Raw genomic sequence first — 14,805 nt, 5'->3', positions numbered from 1 at the left:
TCAAGTTTGGGGGGTAATTTGTGACGCAGCTGTAGATAACAAATACACCTTCTCTCACTTCTGCCCCCGTCACTCTGTCCCCTGACCCGGCTTTACTTTTCTTTGTTTCTTTGTTAGTTTGTTTTGAGACAGAGTCTCACTCTGTTGCCCGGGCTGGAGTGCAGTGCGACAATCTCGACTCACTACAACCTCCGCCTCCCGGGTTCAAGCGATTCTCCTGCCTCAGCCTCCTGAGTAGCTGGGATTGCAGGCACGCGCCACCACGCCCGGCTAATTTTGTATTTTTCGTAGAGACGGGGTTTCTCCATGTTGGTCAAGCTGGTCTCAAACTCCTGACCTCAGGTGATCTGCCCGCCTCGGCCTCCCAAAGTGCTGGGATTACAGGCGTGAGCCACCGCGCCCAGCCTCCGGCTTTACTTTTCTTTGCAGCATTTTGTGGAAGGGAACCTCCCTTACTCCTCTCAGTGTCCCCAGTGCCAGCCTGATGCCTGGATCCACGCAGGTACTCAGTGATGACACTGAATGAATGAATGGGTGAAGAAATGCAAGTCCTCAGAAAGAAAATGCCAGAGCTCAGAAAAGCCAGAAGTAGGGGGCTCAGGATGGGGAGGCCAGCTAACCCCAATCCCAGCTGCCCCAGGGGTCACTACCCACTTTACGCAGGGCCTGGGGACGCTGGTCCCCCACCTCTTCAGCACGATGTTGCCCTGACCCTAGAACCTTGGTCCTGGTGGTCAGGCCCCAAGGGTCAGGCTCTTCGGGTCCCCTTGGGGAACTGGTCCCAGCCTCATGCTTTGCCCAGACCATACAATTTGGATTGTCCTATGCCTGCTGGACTTCAGGCCTATTTTCTCCATTTGGTGTGGAGATTTGCTAAATGCCTCATTTAGAGTGAGCTCATTTTATGCCCTTGTCAGTCTTTTCATGAAAATATTTCGATAAGAAAAGAATGCTATTCCAGCCCACGTGTCCTGATTTTTGTTTGGAAAACAATCCCTGTGCCCATAAAAAGGAAAGGACTGCTGAGTCCAGTCCCCTCCTGGCCCTGTCCCTAATGGGGCCCAGGCTGTGCCAGGGATCCAGAGGCTAAAGCACATTCCAGCAAAAACACTGGCCCCCGCTTGGAACCCAGAGCCCAGTCTGGGTCCGGCAAGGGGCTGGCCCTGTGCCCACCTAACTGAGCCATTTCCTTCCAGACTGGGGCACATTTCCTGCCCGGAGGGAACAGAGCACATTCCCAGGCGGCATGGACTGGGTCCTGCATTGGGGGAGGGGATTCCGTAGGCATTTTCCCAACCCCAGCGACCACGCCCTGGGATGAGAGGCCTGTCCTGGTGGTAGGGCTAGGAGCACGGTTCAAAGGGTGCTGCTGGAGCTGTCCAAGGGGTGGCCATTCTTCGGGGAATGAGCTGAAACCACCCGGCCCTGCCTTGGGTGCAGCCTGCTCTGTATCCCAGGTGTGCTGAGCGTAGAGCGAGAAGGATCCTTGAGTCACCCCTGCCTGCTCCCAAGCAGCAGTCTTCGGGTGAGTGTGGTGCCTTTGCCGAGAGGGAGGGACCCATCAGAGCCTGGAATCCTCAAGGTGCCCTCTCCAGGCCTCCCCTCCTCCCTAATGCCTCCTTCCTGGCCACCCCCATGCCTCTCAAACCCCCTCCAGAAAGACCACTGGCCGGGAGGCTCCTTTGCCCCGTGGGGCTTCCGCTAGGAAAGGGCCCTGAGTTGCAGCCCTGGATCCCCATGGAACCAAAGGGCCCTGGGGGCTGGAGCTGGGCTCCTTTGCACCGAGGTGGCTGGAACCACATTCCAGAGCCTGTCGGTAATGGACGTGCCATATTTCTCATCTCTGTTAGTTTCCCTGGCCCCAGCTTTTCAACAAGAAGAGGGTAGCAGGGAGCATTCAAAGCACTTGAGCTGTGGGGGCCAGGCCACCTGGATTCAAATCCCAGGTTTGCTACTTAATGCCTGTGCGCCCTTGAGCAAGTCACTTAACTTCTCTGAGCCTCAGTTTCTGACTCTGTAAAAAGGGATAACAGTGCCTGCCTCTTGGCGCTGATGTCAAAATGAAATGAAACGGTGAAAGTACCCAGCACATGGCAGACACCCAGCATGCAGTGGTAATTCTTCTGCCAGGTTCAGAGAGGGGCAGTGGCTTGTCTAAGGTCACACAGAGGGTAGGCAGAGGAGCTGGTACCCAACCCTTTGGCCTTCCTGAGCTGGGCCCTGAACGGGCTGAGATGGGAGGGATGCTCATAGCCTTCAAGAAGTCAGGGTTGGGGCTGGGGACCACAGAGCACCCAGCAGAGGCCTGGTCAGCATTGTGCGTCCTTCAGCTGTTTCCCAGCCTGGGATGGGACAGGACATGGCCACTATCCACCCAAGACTGCAGGTGGGTGCCAGACCAAGTGTCCATCCCCCCCGTCCCCTCACCTCATCAGCCACCTCGGTACTACGGTACTACATGCCCCCCCACCACTCTACCCAGTTCTCTACCCAGAATGGTTTTGCTCAGTCTGCAAGGAGCCACGTCCCCCAGGGGACCCAGCCCAGGCCAGCCTGAGGCACATATCCCAGGACCTGCCAGAAGAGCTGTGTGGCCTCAGAAAAGCCTCTTTCCTGCTCTCTGTGTTTGTGATTATTCTTTGTTGTTGTTGTTTTGTTTCTGAGACAGAGTCTTGCTCTGTCACCCAGGCTGGAGTGCAGTGGCACGAATCTCGGCTCACTGCAACCTCCGCCTCCCAGGTTCAAGCAGTTCTCCTGCCTCAGCCTCCTCAGTAGCTAGGATTACAGGCACCCACCACCATGCCCAGCTAATTTTTGTATTTTTAGTAGAGACAGGGTTTCGCCATCTTGGCCAGGCTGGTCTTGAACTCCTGACCTTAGGTGATCTGCCCACCTTAGCCTCCGAACGTATTGGGATTACAGGCGTGAGCCACCACGCCTGGCCTCTGTGTGTTCGTGATTCTAAGCACAGGTTGAGAAAGACATCGTCTTTATTGTTCATGGAGAAGGGAAGGGAGACCAGTAAAGGGGGAGCCCTCCTGAGGATGCACCCCCACCCCTGCCCAGGAAGGCAGGTCTGAGAGGCTGCATCATTGCCCACCCCAAGAAAAAGAGGGTTCAACCAGGGGTCCCCAGGTGTCCCCTCTCCAGAGGCTCCCATCCCCAAATCCTGCCTTCCCTTCTCGGGGCTCCCAGGGCCTGTGCTGAGCTCTGGGCAGGAGGCCAGCTCTGCCACTCTGCCTCCAGGCATCGCCCTGGGGTCAAGGCCTCGGAGATCAGGCTAGTGGGCTTGAGACAGACTCCAGATCCTCCCTGAGGCAGGTCAAGAGGGGGCCGAACTCTGGGACTGGGGTGCCGAGGGCAGGGGCTGGCTTGGTGTTGACACTGGAGGCCTCTGGGATGGAAAATCCTGAGGAAAAGCGTTGAGAATGACACCACCCATTCACCCATCCCCCTGCGGGCCTTGGGCCTCCAGTGACCCGGGCACTTCCTCCCCCTTGGGCCTCTGGGTTGTTGCTGGAGAGGGCTGTGGACAGGGTGGGGGGTGCTAGTGACCTGGAGGACAGCCCTGGCCTGGTGAAAGAGGGTGGGAGAGGTGATTCCAGCTCCCTCTGCCCCTGACCCCCAAGGGAAGTCACCCTGGCTCTGTCTTTTTTTTTTTTGGAGATGGAGTCTCACTCTGTTGCCCAGACTGGAGTGCAGTGGCAAGATCTTGGCTCACTGCAACCTCTACCTCCTGGGTTCAAGTGATTCTCAGGTCTCAGCCTCCTGAGTATTTGGGATTACAGGTGTGAGAGACCGTGCCCAGCTGGCTCTTCTTAAACTTGAGCCTCTTGAGGCTCCTGGGCTGTTTGAAGCAGGGTTCATTGTCTGGGGGACACATGGGATGGGGGTGCCCACCTGTATCTGGCAGAGGTCAAGCAGGGTGCGGACGCCCACGAGACACCAGAGCTCGCCCAGTAGGGAGACAAGGATGCCCAGCAGGTCCAGCCAGCGACCCACAGTCAGCAGCAGCACGAAGAGGCCGCCCATGCGCACCAGCACCGTCTGCACCTGGCTCTGCAGGCCGGGGTGCTGCCGCTGCTCCTCTGTGGGATGCGGGTGCCTGTCACCGTCCGACCACACACCCCGGACTGGACCTCCCTGCTCCCTGACCCACCCTCCACAGGATGAGCCTTCCCCTCCCGTGCAGCCCTCCTCCCATCACATCCTCCTGGTCCCCATCCCTGCTCCGAGTATCTGCAGGGCACCAGGTGCTCTGCCTCCAGGACTCACTGCCCAGCCCACAGGCCTCCAACTGGTCCAGGCCAGAGCCCCACAGCCTCGCAGCCTCGCAGTGGCAGGAGTCGGTCTGACTCCTTTCTTTTCCGCACACCCGCCTCTAGTCCCTCAGTTAGCCCTGGCAACTCCTTCTGCCAAGCACATTCCCAGCTGAACACCTCTCGCCACTCCCATGGACCCACCTGGGCCCAAACCACCTTCCTCTTTCCAAGAAGCCTCCTTGCCAGGCTCCCGGCTTCTGTTCTTTTTTTTTTTTTTTTTTTGAGACAGTCTTACTCTGTCGCCCAGGCTGGAGTGCAGTGGCATGATCTTGGCTCACCACCACCACACCTGGCTAATTTTTTGTATTTTTAGTAGAGACGGGGTTTCACTATGTTGGCCAGGCTGGTTTTGAACTCCTGACCTCAAGTGATTTGCCTGCCTCAGCCTCCGAAAGTGCTGGGTTTACAGGCATGAGCCAGCATGCTTGGCCCCGTTTTTTTGTTTGTTTGTTTTTTGAGACAGAGTCCAGCTACTTGGGAGGCTGAGGCAGGAGAATTGATTGAACCCAGGAGTTGGAGGTTGCAGTGAGCCGAGATCACTCTAGCCTGGGCGACAGAGCAAGACTCCATCTCAAAACAAAACAACAACAAAAAAAAACCCTGCAGTAAGCCGGGCACAGTGGCTCACGCCTGTAATCCCAGCACTTCGGGAAGCTGAGGCAGGTGGATTGCTTGAGCCCAAGAGTTCAAGACCAGCCTGGGCAACATGGCAAGACCCCTTCTTTTTTTTTTTTTTTTTTGTTTGAGATGGAGTTTCGCCCCTGTTGCCCAGATTGGAGTGCAATGGTGCGATCTTGGCTCACTGCAACCTCCGCCTCCCAGGTTCAAGCAATTCTCCTGCCTCCCAAGTAGCTGGGATTACAGGCCCCTGCCACCACACCTGGCTAATTTTTATATTTCTAGTAGAGACGGGGGTTTCACCACATTGGCCAAGCTGGTCTCAAACTCCTGACCTCAGGTGATCCACCTGCCTTAGCCTCCCAAAGTGCTGGGATTACAGGCGTGAGCCACTATGCCCGGCCAAGACCTCCTTCTCTCTTTCTCTCTCTCTCTCTTTCTCTCTCTCTCTCTTTCTCTCTTTCTCTCTTTCTCTCTCTCTTTCTCTCTTTCTTTCTTTCCAGAATCTCTCTCTGTCGCCCAGGCTGGAGTGCAGTGGTTCGATCCTGGCTCACTGCAACCTCTACCTCCTGGGTTCAAGCGATTCTTGTGCCTCAGCCTCCTGAGTAGCTGGATTACAGGCATGGACCACCACACTGGGCTAATTTTGTATTTTTAGTACAGGCAGGGTTTTACCATGTTGGTTAGGCTGGTCTTGAACTCCTGACCTCACGTGATTTGCCTGTCTCAGCTTCTCAAAGTGCAGGGATTATAGGCATGAGCCACTGTGCCCGGCTGACCCCTTCTCTACAAAAAATAAAATTAGCCTGGCATAGTGGTGTGTGCCTGTAATCCCCACAACTTGGGAGGCTGAGGTGGGAGAATCACTTGAGCCCAGAAGGTCAAGGCTGCGGTGAGCCATGATCGTGCCACTGCACTCTAGCCTGGGCCACCAAGCAAAACCCTATCTCAAAAAACAGAAAAGCAAAACAAAACAAAAACATAAACAAACTTGGACAGCAGCCTCTCATCAGACTTCCCCGCCTGGCTGTTGAGGGCTCTCCAACAGGCCCCTTCGAACCTGGCCAGCCTCACCCCTTCCCTGTGCCCTTGGGGTGACAGCCACACTGGACTCCTGTGGCTTGTTTGGCACGGCCATGCCCTCTCTCCCCTCTGGGCATTGGCACATGCGGTTCTCTCTGTCCAAGATTCTGTTCCCTGCCTCGCTTCTCTTAGGGATCTCCTGCTCATCCTTCAAAGCCCAATCTAAAGACTACAACCTCAGGGTGCCCACTACATGCTGCTTCTCTGCACTGCCCCCGCCACACAGCCTCTGTCCTGACCAGGCTCTCTGGGATGGCAAGAGTGAGGGCTGATGGCTCTCGGCCTCCCCGGAGCCTGACCCAGACAGAGGGATGTGCGTGGATTGAATGGAGCAGGCCCCGCAGCGCTCACCCTGCATGTAGATGACCAGCAGCGTGTAGCAGATGGTGAGCGGTGTCCAGAACCGCATGGCCTCCGAGGTGGTCAGGAAGTCCTGGTTGATGAGGGCCACAGCTGCCAGGTCACCCACGGCAAAGGCTATGGCCAGGGCACGGCCCAGCAGCTGGGGGAGGCCATGTGCATGGGCCAGCAGGCCCAGGCACACCCCACAGTAGCGCTGGCTGCTGTGCAGCTCGTAGAGGCGGCAGACGTGGCGGTGGAGGCGCCGGGCACCCAGGCCCAGCAGCGTGGCCAGCCCGAGGCTCAGCAGCAGGTTCAGCGTGCGGTGAGGGGCGCCCTCCTGCAGGAAGCTCAGGCCACAGGTCAGCCCGCAGCCCAGCGAGTACTGGCACAGCAGGTAGAGCTGCAGCCTCTCGGCGGCACCCTGGGAGCCCTGCGGGGAGTGCCGAAGAGGGGCCGAGATGTGGGGGCTGCCTCACCACAGGTGCTGCCCACCACAGGAAGCCGGAGCCTGAAGGGACCTTGGGGATGGTTCCCGAAGGGGCCACATCGGCTTCAGATGAAGCCCTAGGGGATCATCTCTCTCACCTTAATTTCAATCATATGGGTTTTGTTTTGTTTTTTTTTTTAGACAGAGTCTTGCTCTGTCACCCAGGCTGGAGTACAGTGGCTCGATCTCCGCTCACTGCAACCTCCGCCTCCTGGGTTCAAGCAATTCTCCTGCCTCAGCCTCCCAAGAAGCTGGGATTACAGGCACCCGCCACCATGCCCAGCTAATTTTTTTGTTTGTTTGTTTTTGTTTTTAGAGATGGGGTTTCTCCATGTTGGCCAGGCTGGTCTCGAAATCCTAACCTCAGGTGATCCGCCTGCCTCGGCCTCCCAAAGTGCTGGGATTACAGGCGTGAGCCACCACGCCCAGCCTTCAATCATGTCTTAGTACTTGGGGCCCATCTGTTAGCTGAAGGGTGGTGGTTCAGAGTCTCAGAGACCTGGGTCCAAAGCCTGACTCTATCTGTTGACCATAGACAAGCCACATACTCTCTGAGCCTTAGTTTCCCCATCTGTGAAATGGGGAATCAGAGCAAACCTTTACCCCTGTGGCTGTGAGGATTACGTGATGCACACGGTGCACTCGGCGCAGGGCCTGGCATTTGGGGGGCCGGATCTACAGAAACTGTCGCTCTTGTCTTCTTGGGACTGGGACTGTGTCCACTGTGAGTGTGGCCGCTTCCGCAACCAAACCCAAAGGTGCAACCTGCAGCCTCTGTTCTCAGTCTTACGGAAAATACGGCGAAGAGGCTGGGATGCTGGACCTGGGCCCTGCTGCCCACATTCCGGGGGTGAGCCCGGGCCCTGGGCTGGGGAGTGATCCACCCACTGCCTTCCCGGAGGCCTCACCTTGCCCAGGGACAGCAGCGTGGACACGGCCCGGAGGGAGAACTCGAGCACCACGAGGGCAGCCACCCGGGACCCCACGACCGTCAGAAACAGGGCCAGCCCTGCCAGGTGCACCGTTTCCAGGGAGGCCCACTGGGCCCGAAGCCGCTCCTTTTCGGGTCGCCGCTGCGGGTCACTTTGGGGACAGAATGGGTGTGGGCAGGGGTGCAGAACTGCCACCTTCGACCCCTGGTGGGGGTCCCCGTGCCCCCAGCCACATTCCCTGGGGGGATGAGGTGGGCACTCACTTGGCACAGCCCACGAAGAAGTAAACTTTCAGGAGGCTGTTCAGGACCAAGACTCCAAGGGCCCCGATCAGGCCTGAGGGGGCGGGAGGGAGGCAGCGAGGCAGCGTGCAGGGGTGTTAGGAGGGCAGGCTTCATTGGTAGGGTCAGAGGGGGCGGCCAAGGGGCAGGGGTGTCGGGAGACCAGGTGGGTGGGGTCCACCCTGCACTGCAAAGAGCTGGAAGGGGGCGGGGCCAAGGCAGGAATGGGGCGAGGTGCTCACCTTGCAGGAGGGAGTCAAGGAGGCTAGAGCCCCACTCGAGGGAGGGGAGGCCGGGGAGCCAGGAGGGGAGGGATGGAAGAGAGAACATGGCAGCCCCGGAAGGAGCCCCAGCCTCCGGCCAGGTCTGCGTAAGGACAGACCAACGTCACTGGGCAAAGGTGTCGGTGGAGGGAAGGAGAGAGGCTGGGAGGGGTCAAAGGCCCAGGGGAGGGGAGGGGAGGAGAGCCAGGGGTGTTAACCCTTCGAGGCCCAGAAGGGCAAGGTCCCAGCTCCAGGCACACGGGGTGCCTGGAGCCAGCTGCTGCCCGGGCTCCCCATTTGGGCAGTGTGGGGTGAAGGGACAGGTGTCTCTGGGCTGGTCTCTGGTCTCTGTCCCTGCTAAAGTCTGGCATCCACTTTACTTGAAATCTTCCTTGAGGGAGGACAGGCGCAGTGGCTTACACTTGTAATCCCAGCACTTTGGGAGGCCAAGGTGGGCAGATCACAAGGTCAGGAGTTCGAGACCAGCCTGACCAATATGGTAAAACTCTGTCTCTACTAAAAATACAAAAAATTAGCCGGGCGTGGTGGCAGGCACCTGTAATCCCAGCTACTCGGGAGGCTGAGGCAGGAGAATGGCTTGAACCCAGGAGGCGGAGGTTGCAGTGAGCTGAGATCACACCATTGCACTCCAGCCTGGGCAACAGAGCAACACTCTGTCTAAAAAAAAAAAAAAAAAAAAAAAATAGCAATCTTCCTTGAGGGCTTGAACCACCCAATGCCCCTTCGAAGTCCCAGGCTCCATCTGTCCTGCCCCGCCTTAGGTGTGGGTCCTGTCCTCTTGCAGCCTGAAGTGTGGGCTCTGACCCTTCAGCCCAGGGTCTGAGAGTAGGGACTCTATCCCCCCATAGCCAGAGATCAGCTGTGCCCTCTCAGCCTGAGGTCTGGGGCTCTCTTCCCCCACAGCCAGGAGGTCAGCTCTGCCTGCTTTTTGTAAGGTCTGGTTCCAGCTTCCCAAAGCCTCCGGCTCTGACTCGGTGTGGAATCTCCTGCAGCCCGAGCCTGCCTGAGCCTTCTCCTCCCACAGGCCGGGGCCGCCCTTCCTGATGCTCCTCCCTGGGTCCACTAGGTGGCAGGCCTCACCTGGGTCCAGCAGGGCGGAGCTGAACAGGTGGACCACGGCTCCCATCCTGCTTTCACAAACAGAAAGGGCAGAGGGAGCAGAAGGTGGGGGTCAGGGATGGGGGAGACTGAGATTCACCACAGAGGAGGGTCGTTGAAGTAAACAAAATATAAAACTTTATTGGTTTGGAGTGTGCAGTAGCAGGTGTTCCTGGGAGCGGCCCTTACAGACTTGGGGTGTGGCTGGGAGGGCAGGTGGGGCTGCTCGGCAGCAGTCCTGCCCCTGCCAGGGAGTTGGCATCCATCTCTGCAGTGTGAAGGTCGGTGCGGCGCTGAGAGCACACCCACGGGGAATGGTGCTCAGTCTAGAGAAAGGCCCAGGGTCTGCTGCTGGCCCTGCCACGTCGCTTCCCTTTCCCGGGCCTCAGTCCCGGGAACAATGGGCACCTGGACTGAACAATGGGCACCCGGAGCTTCTTTCAGGCTTGTCAGGATATGTGCAAATGCCCACAGGGCGGGCAGCTGGGAGGCCCTCCGTGAGAGCCCTTAGATGATGTTGGCTGAGGCCAGGCGCGGTGGCTCACGCCTGTAATCCCAGCATTTTGGGAGGCCGAGGCGGGCGGCAAGGTCAGGCATTCAAGACCAGCCTGGCCAACACAGCGAAAGCCTGTCTCTACTAAAAATACAAAATTAGCTGGGCATGGTGGCGCACACCTATAGTCCCAGCAACTCGGGAGGCTGAGGCAGGAGAATCACTTGAACCTGGGAGGTGGAGGTTGTGGTGAGCCGAGATTGCACCACCGCACTCCAGCCTGGGCAACAAAGCGAGACTCCATCTCAAAAAAAAAGATGATGTTGGCTGAACTGCGGCCCCTGCAGAAGTGCATGTTGAAGTCCTACCCCCTAGTAGCTCAGGATGTGACTGTATATGGAGATAGGCTCTTGACAGAGATAATTAAGTTAAAATTGGGCCAAGTGAGGTGGCTCATGCCTGTAATCCCAGCACTTTGGGAGGCCAAGGCCAGTGGATCACTTGAGGTCAGGAGTTCGAGACCAGTCTGGCCAACATGGCAAAACCCCATCTCTACTAAAGATACAAAAATTGGCCGGGTGTGGTGGCACACACCTGTAATCCCAGCTACTCAGGAGGCTGGGGCAGGAGAATTGCTTGAACCTAGGAGGCCAAGGTTGCAGTGAACCGAGATCGTGCCACTGCACTCCAGCTTGGGTGGCAGAGTGAGACTTCATCTCAAAAAAAAAAAAAAAAATTAAAGTGGGGTCATGAGGGTGGGCCCTAAGCCAACATGATTTGTGTCCTTATAAGAGGAGGAGATCAGGACCCAGACGCACATCGAGGGACCACCATGTGCAGACACAGAGAGAAAGCAGCATCTGCAAGCCATGGACAGAGGCCTCAGAAGAAACCAGCCCACTGACACCTTGGTCTCCAGCATCCAGCCTCCAGAACTGTGAGAAAATACATTTCTATTGTCTAAGTCGCCCAGTCTGTGGTTCTTTGCTACAGCTTCTCCAGCAAATAAGGCAGGTGACGACGCCACAGCCTCCTGGTGCACCTCAGCCTTTGCCATGGTACAGTGACCCCTATGGGCAGTCCGGGCCCATGGGCCTGTCACAGTCACGCACTTGTCAAGCGCATAGGTCTAGGGTGAGCAGGGCTAAGCTCCAGTCCTGGCTCTGCCACTTCAAAATTGTGTGGCTGTGGTCAAAGCCCACCACTCTAGGCCTTGGCTTTCTAATGGTAAAAGAAGTAAAAGTGCCTGCCTCGTGCTGCTGTCTGAGGCCTAAGTGAGCCGATGTATGTAAGTTACTGGGCCTATGCCATGTGCACGCCCGCAGCAGTTGCTATAACTGAGCAAGGCTCTGGGATGTGGTGACCCAGTACGCAGTACAGAGAAGGAAGAGAACTGTCTGGAAGACAGAATGGGTGGTAACTTGAAGTGGATGCTCTGGACCTGGGTGGGCCAAGGGGCTGGATGGACCAGAGCTGTCCACACTCTCCCGGGACCTCTGGCAGGGCCTGGGCCCATGGCCCGCCCCGGGACAGCCAGTTGTCCTGGAGCAGGCTCTCACTTCCGGCCAAGTGCCGGCCGTGTCAGGACGTGGGGGTGAGGGCCGTCGTCTAGGTGCCCTTGTGCTGGGCCCGCCCAGCCAGTTTCCGAAGCTCGTCCCAGAAGAGCATGCTGAGGATGGTGTGGGGGCCCAGGCGCAGGTAGGCGGGGCCCAGGCCCTTGTAGAGTGCCAGGGGGCCCTCCTGCCGCCAGATCTTCACCATGCAGTCGGTGAGGCCCCCATAGAGCTGGCCCTGGGGAAAGACATGGGGTGAGTGTTACTACAGGGGCCTTGAGGCCCTGGCTGGCACCACATCTTGGCACACGGGTCAATTTCACCCCCACACACCCTATGGACAGCACCTTTGTATTGGACACACCTGTGAGGCTGCGGCGCCATGGGAAGGCTGTGGGGTCAGGCCTGAATTCCAGTTCTGGCTCCTCCCCTTACCAGCTGGGGGAACTCATGCAAGTCAGTTGATCTGTCTGAGCCTCAGCTTCCTCATCAGGAAGATGAATGTGATTATAAGGATGGAATAAAATCCAGATGTGAAAGTGCTTAGCCTGTGCCTGGGACCCGGGGGCTCAGCAAACAAGCCCAGTTAATGTGTTTGCATACCTGGCCTGTGTCTGCGTGTCTCTGGCTGTGCATGTGTGAGTGTGAGTGTGTGAGAGTGTGTGTGTGTGTGTGTGTGTTGGGGGGGTGCTCCCAGCTCCCCACGGTCTCCCCTAGACCCGCCCCTGCTCACCCTGCCAGCTGTGTCCACCGGCTGATTGTATAGCCGCGTGCTGACCACATCGAAGGGAGTCATGACGACAACCACGGCTATGCTGCTGATCATGCCCCCAGCCAGGGCCACCAGCCAGCTGTCCTCAGGGAGCCACTGTGGGGATGGCACAGGTGCTGATCCCTGCAACAGCTCTCTACCCACCCACGTCGTGCCCTCCCGGCCTCCTACCACACAGGGGCTAAAAGGGCTACAGAAAGGGGAGCAGATGAGGCCCCTCCAGCCATCCCCCAGCCCTGCCACCCTGAGCTCCTTCTCAGCTTTGGGGTTCACTGCTGACCCCACACTCCTGCTGGTACCAAGGGCCGGAGTCACGACTCTGAGGGCAGAGGCAGGGCCCCATCTGTTGCCACCCCCTGGTCTTCCCCGTGTGGAAGGAGGCAGGTGGCCCCCCTCAGTCCGGTGTGTCTCTGTGGATAGGCACAGGTGTCCCCAGCTCCTCACCTGTTGCTTCTGTACCCAGGCCTTGGCAGAGGCGAAGGTGGCCAGCTGGGCAGCTGAGCCCACCATGACTCGGGGCACAGCCCCACCAACGCCCTGCCACAGCCCCAAGAGCCCTTGCTGCCGCCAGATGGTCTCCAAGGCACCCAGGACAGTCTGTGGGGAGAGGGCACGGGGTCACTGGCCACCCCTGCCTAGGCTGGGAGCATGCCCAATCCATGCCCCCAGGGAGCTCTGAGAGTGGCAGGCCTCACCTGGTGATTGTGCTGGTGTCCCACGGCCACTGCGGCCACTGTCTGAGCTTGCAGCTGCGTTTTGATCTATGGGAGCAGAGAGGACACGGGTGTGGGGATGGAGCCTGGGAGAGCCAGGGTGAGCTGTGTGTGTTGAGGGCGCCCTGCCCCCGTGCCCCTGAAACTCACAGCTCCATGGTCCCGAGCCTGAAGCTTAGGGGTCAAGTGAAATAGGGTTGAGGTGCAGCTCTGGGGTTGGCCTGGGTTTTGCGTCTCAGTGTGACTTGGAGCAAGTTACTTAACCTTTTCTGGGCCTCAATTCTGTCACGGTTGGAAAGCTGTTCTGAGGATTAAGTGAGACAATGATCCTCCAGCACCAGCCAAGGGCAAGGCGAGCCTTTGCTCAAGGGGAGCTTTTTTTTTCTTTCTTTCCTTTTTTTTTTTTTGAGGCAGAGTCTTGCTGTGTTGCCCAGGCTGAAGTACAGTGCCATGATCTTGGCTCACTGCAAGCTCTGCCAACTGGGCTCAAGTGATTCTCCTGCCTCAGCCTCCCCGGTAGCTGGGATTACAGGCATGCATCACCACGCCCAGCTAATTTTTGTACTTTTTAGCAGAGACAGGGTTTCACCATGTTGACCATGCTGGTCTCAAACTCCTGACCTCAGGTGATCTGCCCGCCTCGGCCTCCCAAAGTGCTGGGATTACAGGCGTGAGCCACTGCACCCAGCCAAGGGTAGCTTTCTTCAAAACATTTTTTAATTTTTTATTTGTTTTGGGTGGCCCTGAGGCCCCCCTGCAGAGTGCACACGAGGCGGAGGCCCTCAAGGGTAGCTTTTATTCTTATCGTACATGAGGCCATGCGGGAAGAGAAGTAACCAAGCCAGGATTTGAGCCAGCACATCTGACACCCTCTGCCCCCTCCCCTGGCTCAGGACCAGTGGGGCAGGGACCGCAGGGGAGCATGGATCAGAGCAAGGCCCTGGGCCAAGGGGCAGATTCCAGGCTTGGGCTAGGATGTTCCAGGGAGCAGCCCCACCCCGGCTGCCCCACCCCACCCAGGTCCACTGAGCCCTGCCTTTGGAGGCTGCAGGGCCCCTGTGGGAGCTGGGTCATGGGATGGTGGAGGGTGGACGATGGAGACAAGCCACTCACCAGGTAAGCAGGGCTCCCCACGAAGGCTCCCAGTGCCCCCGCCACGGCTCCCGCAACCACGGTGCCACCTGGTTGCTGCGTGAGGCCAGCCTGGCACGCCAGGCTGTAGCAGTAGAAACGAACGCCATTCATGAGGCCTTGGTACAGAAGGCCGGCAGCCAGCCCCTTCTGCAGGCCCCACAGCCCGTCTGCTCGGGCCACAGCAGCGACAGAGGCTATGAAGCCATGGTAGGGCCGTGGGTAGGTGCCCCGGGCCTGCAGCTCCCCCTGCAGCTGCAGCCGCGTCTTCACCACCTCCAGGGGGTTGGTGAAGACACAGGCCAGGCAGCAGGCAGAAGCACCCAGCACCAGGTCCACTGCTGGGGGCACCGTCTCCATGGCCTCCGGGCCAGTGGCCTTCTGTGCCCGGGTCAGGGGCACGGCACAGGCCCTGTGGTGGTGGCGTTTAGGCTGTCTGTAACCTCGCAGGGCTACGGGGCTGGGGTTTGCAGGGGACCGAGGCCATGTCTAGAGGGTAAGGGTCCTGGTCTGACAGGCCTGTGGCTGCCTGGTGTCCCTGGTCTATCTCAGCAGTCCACCTGCTCTGCTCAGCTGTTCCAGCGGTCTGCCGGAGCCTGGGACGCGCCTCCGCCAGCTGCGACCAATCCCAGCTGCCTCTGTGCCCACACCTGCCAGCCGAGGGCGGGCCTGGACCCTGGGATCTGGGGGAAAGGT

The 14,805-nt window shown here is 58.4% G+C and overlaps 2 protein-coding genes and 1 long non-coding RNA gene across 5 annotated transcripts, besides 4 other annotated features; 1 reads left to right on the top strand and 2 right to left on the bottom strand.

Moving 5' to 3' along the window:
* Nucleotides 1–1,064: 1,064 nt before the first annotated feature.
* Nucleotides 1,065–10,904, top strand: SLC25A34-AS1 (SLC25A34 and TMEM82 antisense RNA 1). The gene is made up of 2 exons (NR_149050.1): nt 1,065–1,525; nt 10,733–10,904. It is a non-coding gene; the product is annotated as an SLC25A34 and TMEM82 antisense RNA 1 (long non-coding RNA).
* On the bottom strand, nt 2,973–8,456 carry TMEM82 (transmembrane protein 82). Its single transcript, NM_001013641.3, has 6 exons — nt 8,308–8,456; nt 8,048–8,120; nt 7,761–7,935; nt 6,375–6,795; nt 3,901–4,088; nt 2,973–3,409 (listed from the first exon to the last, which is right to left on the bottom strand). The coding sequence occupies exons 1-6, from the start codon at nt 8,393–8,395 to the stop codon at nt 3,323–3,325; spliced, it is 1,032 nt and encodes a 343-aa protein (NP_001013663.1). The 5' UTR covers nt 8,396–8,456; the 3' UTR covers nt 2,973–3,322.
* Nucleotides 6,108–6,620: an enhancer, noted in NCBI's record as "H3K27ac-H3K4me1 hESC enhancer chr1:16070830-16071342 (GRCh37/hg19 assembly coordinates)". NCBI's record gives its function as "activates a minimal SCP1, AML or CMV promoter by ChIP-STARR-seq in naive H9 embryonic stem cells {active_cell/tissue: H9 hESC(naive)}" and the evidence as "EXISTENCE:reporter gene assay evidence [ECO:0000049][PMID:30033119]".
* Nucleotides 6,621–7,134: an enhancer, noted in NCBI's record as "H3K27ac-H3K4me1 hESC enhancer chr1:16070316-16070829 (GRCh37/hg19 assembly coordinates)". NCBI's record gives its function as "activates a minimal SCP1, AML or CMV promoter by ChIP-STARR-seq in naive H9 embryonic stem cells {active_cell/tissue: H9 hESC(naive)}" and the evidence as "EXISTENCE:reporter gene assay evidence [ECO:0000049][PMID:30033119]".
* Nucleotides 8,095–8,875: an enhancer, noted in NCBI's record as "H3K4me1 hESC enhancer chr1:16068575-16069355 (GRCh37/hg19 assembly coordinates)". NCBI's record gives its function as "activates a minimal SCP1, AML or CMV promoter by ChIP-STARR-seq in naive H9 embryonic stem cells {active_cell/tissue: H9 hESC(naive)}" and the evidence as "EXISTENCE:reporter gene assay evidence [ECO:0000049][PMID:30033119]".
* Nucleotides 9,277–9,346: an enhancer, noted in NCBI's record as "active region_245". NCBI's record gives its function as "activates an Ori minimal core promoter by ATAC-STARR-seq in GM12878 lymphoblastoid cells {active_cell/tissue: GM12878}" and the evidence as "EXISTENCE:reporter gene assay evidence [ECO:0000049][PMID:35858748]".
* Nucleotides 9,563–14,697, bottom strand: SLC25A34 (solute carrier family 25 member 34). 3 transcript variants are annotated; one of them, NM_207348.3, is made up of 5 exons: nt 14,092–14,697; nt 12,961–13,026; nt 12,710–12,862; nt 12,227–12,361; nt 9,563–11,731 (listed from the first exon to the last, which is right to left on the bottom strand). In NM_207348.3, the coding sequence occupies exons 1-5, from the start codon at nt 14,467–14,469 to the stop codon at nt 11,549–11,551; spliced, it is 915 nt and encodes a 304-aa protein (NP_997231.1). In that variant the 5' UTR covers nt 14,470–14,697; the 3' UTR covers nt 9,563–11,548. The 3 variants fall into 3 exon arrangements, with proteins under 3 accessions (NP_997231.1, XP_016856572.1, XP_011539595.1); XM_011541293.2 differs by lacking the exon at nt 9,563–11,731 and adding an exon at nt 11,864–11,974; XM_017001083.2 differs by lacking the exon at nt 12,227–12,361.

This window comes from Homo sapiens, chromosome 1 (genome assembly GCF_000001405.40).
Source record: "Homo sapiens chromosome 1, GRCh38.p14 Primary Assembly".
NCBI lineage: Eukaryota > Metazoa > Chordata > Mammalia > Primates > Hominidae > Homo > Homo sapiens.
The sequence above is the reverse complement of the archived record's forward strand: the minus strand, read 5'-3'. Positions and strand labels throughout refer to the sequence as shown.